The following is a 6,101-nucleotide window of genomic DNA, read 5'->3' on the forward strand; positions in this document are numbered from 1 at the left end:
GTCTCTACTAAAAATACAAAAATTAGCCGGACGTGGTGGCATGTGCTTGTAATCCCAGCTACTTGGTAGGCTGAGACAAGAGAATTGATTGAACCCAGGAGGGGGAGGTTGCAGTGAGCCGAGATAACACCACTGCACTATAGCCTGGGTGACAGAGCAAGACTCTGTCTCAGGAAAAAAAAAAAAAAGAAAGAAAATGTTTGTACAAATAGCTCTTTGAAACCCTGCTTTCAATTCTTTTGGGTATATACCCAGAGGTAAAATTGATGGATGATATGGTAATTCTGTTTAACTGTTTGAGAAAGCCCTATACTGTTTTTCTGTAGTGGCTACATCATTTTACATTCCTACCAACAGTGCACAGTCTTCTAATTTCTTTACATTCTTGTCAACGCTTGTTATTTTCTGTTTTGGTGTTGTTTTGTTTTGTTTTGTTTTTGGATAGCAGCTATTTGAACTCTGCTTTTTTTGTTTTGTTTTGTTTTGTTTTGCAGCCAACATTGGTACTCAGACCACAGGACCCAGTGGGGTAGGATGCTGTACACCAGGCCGGCCGCTCCTGCCGTGCAAATGTTCCTCAGCAGCACATAGCACCTATCGGGTAAGGCCAGCCCAGCTGCCTGCTCTTAGCCTGGGCTCCTGGCCGCCTGGCTCAGAACCTTAGCTAAGGTGTTGGGCCTTGGCTTTTTTTCTTTTCTTGGCTTGTAAAGTTTCGTTTATTAATGTGTACAATCAATAAGAGATCACCCTTACTGCGAGAAGGGGAAAGAGGGCCAGCATTACGTTTTATTTACAATTTGTTTTGCTTCGGTTATTACCAAAATTAATTTGGATATCCTTAGTATTTGTGATGAACACCAAGGAAAGGTATTCTAAGAATATGCTGATTATTGAAGGGATGTACTTAATCTTCAAAACAGAAAATACTTACTGTAATCAAAGACTGTGTATTTATCTCCCTCCCCTAAAAAAGGCCTAAAATTCAGCATTATCATATCCTGTGTAGAATTTCAATGTGTCTCTTTTGAACTATTTCCTGCAAAATGAATGAGAACAGTCTTTAAACAGCAAAAATGTCTATTTTTTTTTTTGGACAGGGTCTTTTTTTTGACAGCACCCAGGTTAGAGTGCAGTGGTGTGATCATAGCTCACTGCAGCCTTGAACTCCTAGGCTCAAGTGATCCTCCCACCTCAGCCTCCAAGTACAGGCATGTGACACCATGCCTGGTTAATTTTGTGTATTTTTTTGTAGTGACAGGGGTCTCATTATGTTGCCAAGGCTGATCTCAAACTCCTGGCCTCAAGCGATCCTCCCACTTTGGCCTTCCAAAGTTCTAGGATTATAGGTGTGAGCCACCACACCTGGCCAAAATGTTTTAAAATTACCAAGATGTGAAAGGGTGAGAGGTGTGCCGGGGACATGTCCATAAATCTACTTGATAAAAAGTGCTTTATTTGGCACAAAGTTATTGGTAACACAGGGCTTTCCTTTATCAACGTTCATCAGGGACCTTTATAAGTTCGTAGCACTACAGGAAACGTCTAAGCTAGAGGCATGACTTTGTCTTCTAATCCACTTTGCCCTTGTTGGGGACTCTCCACCCCACCTGATCATCCAGACCTTGCCCTCTGTTCCCCTCCTCCAGTGCCTCCCTGGCCTTCTGCTCACTTGCCAGGGTAAGTATTTTGAGGACATGCCTGTCCATGGTGATTAAGGGATGTGTCCCCGGCACCATGCAGGTCCAGGAGCCGGCTGTGCACATCCCAGGACAGGAGCCCCTGACCGCGTCCATGCTGGCTGCGGCGCCCCTGCATGAGCAAAAGCAGATGATTGGTGAGTGGCTGGTTCTCCTACTGTGGAGCAAGAAGAGGAGGGCTGCGAGCTGGCTAGCCTGCTGGGAAACACCTCACCTGGTGGTCCAACGTGAGGTCAAATTCCAGCTTTGTCACCGACCCCCCTACTGGGTGACCGTGGCCAAGCTGGCTCTATTCTCTAGGCACCTGTTATCTTGTCTTAAAACGCTGGTCAGACTGGATGGTCCTGAGCTTTCTTCCACTGCTGCTGTCCTGTGACTTTGAGGTTGGGAGACAGTCCAGATGTGGGGAGATCAGGGGACAAAGGGAGGAGTAGGGGTATGGTCTTGGGTTTCTGCTGAGAAATGGCTTGTAGGTGGGGGGTTAAAGTTCCTCACACCTCTCCTGAACGGGAGGAAGCTGCTGTTCACCAGTTTCCAGTGCTCAATGCGGGCAGGTGGGGCATCTGTGCGTTTGGTAAATACATGATGTTTCCCATAGATTCTGGATTCCTTGTGCAATTCATCTTCACCCCTAGTGTCCATGGCAGGCCCTGATAAAAATGCCACTAAGTGAACACAAGCTTGTTCCTGGTTGGCAGGTTCTTTACTGCATGGCCCCCGAGACCTCCAGACCCTTTACTGAAGGCCCCCATTACCACTGCCCCATTGTTTCCTCAGCTTACTTAGGGTTTTGCCACATTACCCCTTCCCCTCACCCCGAAATTTTTTTTTTTTTCCCTGAGATGGAGTCTTGCTCTGCTGCCCCGGCTGGAGTGCAGTGGCACGATTTTGGCTCACTGCAACCTCCACCTCCCGGGTTCAAGTGATTCTCCTGCCTCAGCCTTCTGAGTAGCTGGGCTTACAGGCACATGCCACCATGACCAGCTAAGTTTTGTATTTTTATTAGAGATGGGGTTTCACCATGTTGGCCAGGCTGGTTTCAAACTCCTGATCTCAGGTGATCCACCCACCTCAGCCTCCCAAAGTACTGTGATTACAGGTGTGAGCCACCATGCCTGGCCTCACCCAGAAACATTTTGAATGAGCTTAATGGAAGTAGAAGTCTTTGTTAGTAGTTCTCTGTAAACATTTTCACTTTCTTCATGGGACGATCCTTTCCGCCCCCACTTAAGGCACCCAGTCCTGGCTGGGCCCTGGACACATTGCTGAGATGGGCTGACCACCAATACCAGGCCCAGTCATTAAAAGTACCTGATGTTAGAAGATCAAGTGTTAAATGTCATAGCCTAGAAGGAGCAGTTCTGGGAGAAGAACCCAGATGTCCTCAGTGCTCCACTCCATACGAGCCCTGGGATGCTGGGGTGTGAGCTAGGCCGTGCACAAGCCATTAGAAGGTGTTCCACACAGGGGAGCGTCTCTACCCCCTTATCCATGATGTCCACACCCAGCTGGCTGGCAAGATCACGGGCATGCTGCTGGAGATTGACAACTCAGAGCTGTTGCTCATGCTGGAGTCTCCAGAATCCCTCCATGCCAAGGTAAGCAGGAGCCTGGGCAGCAGGGAGCCCGAGGGGGCAGGAGGAGAGCTAACGACAAGGGCTCTCCTAGTGGAGCCAGTGGATAGCTGTTTGGCCAGATAAAGTGTTTCTTCTTGCTAATACCTGAAGGCCTGCTGAATCTTAAGAGTGGAAGGGGCCTTAGGTAAGGGTTTGCTACTTCAGCCCTTCCGTAGACTAATTCTGTGTTGTTCTGTAGGTAGGTCTTTTGGTACAAGGAAGTGTGTTGTGACTCAGTGTAAGGGTTAAGATTTTTCCAGCTGTCCAGCAATGTACCTCTGTGTCAAAGGTGACAGACAGGGCCATGGGATCTTGCAAGCAGTGGTGGATGGGAGGGTTCCACAGAAACCCTGTGGATGGAGGAGGATCCTGTATCCAGGATGGTGAGCGAGGGGGAGATCAAGGCTCTTCTGTGACCTGCTAAGATAGCTGCACTAAGCCCCCCCGCCACTCATGTCTCACAGATAGACGAGGCAGTGGCCGTGCTGCAGGCACACCAGGCTATGGAGCAGCCGAAGGCGTACATGCACTGAAACCAGGTGGGTGGAATGGTGACAGAAGCAGCTGAGCCCGGGAGAAGCTGTAAGGAAATAGGCAGGGACTGACTTTCACAAACACTGAGAATTGCGCCGTGTTCCTGGCTTTCTCTGAAGCACCAAAGAGTTTGGAGGAAGTTGTGAGAATCAGAGGAGATGATTAACTGTGATCGGAATGGGGGGTGGTGGAGGGTGAAGGAGGTGCCCTCTTGCCAGCTGCCCTGCCTGGCTTCATGCAGAATAGTTTGGGCTTTCCCAGGGCCCTGCCTGGCTCCATTCTGCCTGCCTGAAGGCCTGGCCAGGATGTAACCACCTTCTTTATTGAAGACTGGGTGTCTGCCATACTTTAAAAACACTTATTTTTACCTTTTTGTCCTCAGAAAAGGAAATCCTCGCTTCCATGGCTGCCAAAAGGACAGTGTTTCTGGCTCTCAGCCCTAAGGCCCTGCAAACTCTAACTTATTTCCCAATTAGTCTGTATCTATACTTGGGCTCTGTATGTGAATGAAGGTTGGTCACCCATCCAGCCTATTACCTTTTGCTTTGTGTATTAAAAGTGCTGCAAAATCTGCCTTGCCTCCCAGGAGGCCCTTTTGTGTCTGAGGGAGGTGGGGACAGAGCAAACGGTAGACATGACTGGGGTGGGGCTCAGGCTCTAAGAAACAGAAACCCTAAAGGAGTGCTGAAGTACACAGAGGGCATATACACAAGAGCAGGAGAAGTGTTAGGAACTGACCCATCAACAGTACAGTGGATGATGACATGGATATCACACAATGGACCAGAGCTACAGGGGCCCCCATCTGATGTGCATGCAGCCCCTGGCTTGGGCACCCTGCAGGGCAAACACCCAGCTGCTTCTCGGCTGGCTAAGGGGTTGTGTAACATAATTAACCCTTGTAGGAACGTTTTAGGGTACCTTCCCAGGTCAGGATTTTCCTCCCCTAATGGAGAAGTCTCTCGAAAAGCTTCTTTGTGTCAGTTAGTGCTCACCTCCCATCAGGGACGTACAGTCCAGGTCTTTGCCCTCTCGTGTACCGGAGCGGCCCAGTGAAAGTGGCTACTATGACCCAAGCAGACTGGGTTCTGCTAAAAATTCACCAGCAACAAATCTGACCGAGTCCTCAAGGCTGCTCTGCCACTCTCAGCAACTCACTCTTCCTGTTCTCCGCTCCACAGACCTCCAACCTGTCTTCACCATGTCCTGCCCACTTCTTTGGCTGCTTTTAATCTGTTCCCTGTGCAGCTCCATCGTCTTCTCCCCAAATCCTGACTGCTGGCATTTCTTTACTCTCAGTCCTGGGCCCTCTCGGTTTCTCATGCCATGTTCTCCTGAGCTATCTAATTTACAAGCGCATCTTCCATTTGTACCCAGTCGAGGATGACTCCCTGTTTTTTTCTTCAGCCCAGTCAACTCTTAAGAGCACCTGAGTCACCTCTCTTACATTCCACCGCCTACCTGCCATCAGCTCCTGGTTATCTTGGTAACACTCATGTCTAAATTCAAGCTTATGATTTAACTAAGTTTCTTTCTTTTTCATTCCTTGGTTCTTTTTTTTTTGAGACGGAGTCTCGCTCTGTCACCCAGGCTGGAGTGCAGTGACGTGACCTCTGCTCACTGCAACCTCCACCTCCTGGGTTCAAGCAGTTCTTTTGCCTCAGCCTCCAGAGTAGCTGGGACTACAGGTGCACTCCACCACACCCAGCTAATTTTTGTATTTTTAGTAGAGATGAGGTTTCACCATATTGGTCAGGCTGATCTCGAACTCCTGACGTCAGGTGATCCACCCGCCTCGGGTGGGGTTTACAGGCATGAGCCACCGTGCCCGGTCTTATTCTCTGATTCTCTCTTCCAGTGTTCTGTCTCCATAAATGGCCCCACCATTCTGTTGCAAAAGCCAAAATCAGAGGGTTTCCCCAGCCCTGCTGCCACACCACTTTCTCTCCTCCCCTCTTCCAGAGAAAATCCACCAACATGACCTCCTACCAGATCCAAATCCACTACCACTACCTAGTGGAATAAATCCACTAATTTGAGCTAAGCTCAACCCCTGCGCTCACTGCCTTCTGCCAGTTAACTGCATTTACCCTGGCCCTCCCGCAGTCTGTCCTCCACCATGCAGTCCTAAGGCTTCTTTCAAAATGCCTCTCTAATGTCTCATCCTTGCATAAATCCTGCAGTAGCTTCCCATCATTAGAATAAGGACTACTTTACACAGCCTAGGAGACCCTGCATGATCTGCTCTCTGCCC

At 49.0% G+C, this 6,101-nt stretch overlaps 1 protein-coding gene across 5 annotated transcripts in view; it reads left to right on the plus strand.

Annotated features, from left to right (window-relative positions):
• PABPC1L (poly(A) binding protein cytoplasmic 1 like) overlaps positions 1-4,420 on the plus strand; it is a 29,257-nt gene extending 24,837 nt beyond the window's left edge. For 2 of the 5 annotated variants that reach the window (NR_134983.2, NM_001372179.1), the window contains 5 exons: positions 495-601; positions 1,741-1,834; positions 3,165-3,295; positions 3,778-3,852; positions 4,230-4,420. Coding sequence is in view for 1 of the 5 variants with exons in the window: in NM_001372179.1 (NP_001359108.1) it covers positions 495-601; positions 1,741-1,834; positions 3,165-3,295; positions 3,778-3,846 (401 nt within the window). In the remaining 4 variants the exon portion in view is untranslated. Of the gene's footprint in view, positions 1-494; positions 603-1,740; positions 1,835-1,997; positions 2,081-3,164; positions 3,296-3,777; positions 3,853-4,229 lie in introns of those variants that run through there. The other 3 variants (XM_047440518.1, XM_047440519.1, NR_134987.2) reach the window with 2 other exon arrangements.
• The last annotated feature ends 1,681 nt before the right edge of the window (positions 4,421-6,101 follow it).

This window comes from Homo sapiens, chromosome 20 (assembly GCF_000001405.40).
Source record: "Homo sapiens chromosome 20, GRCh38.p14 Primary Assembly".
Lineage (NCBI taxonomy): Eukaryota > Metazoa > Chordata > Mammalia > Primates > Hominidae > Homo > Homo sapiens.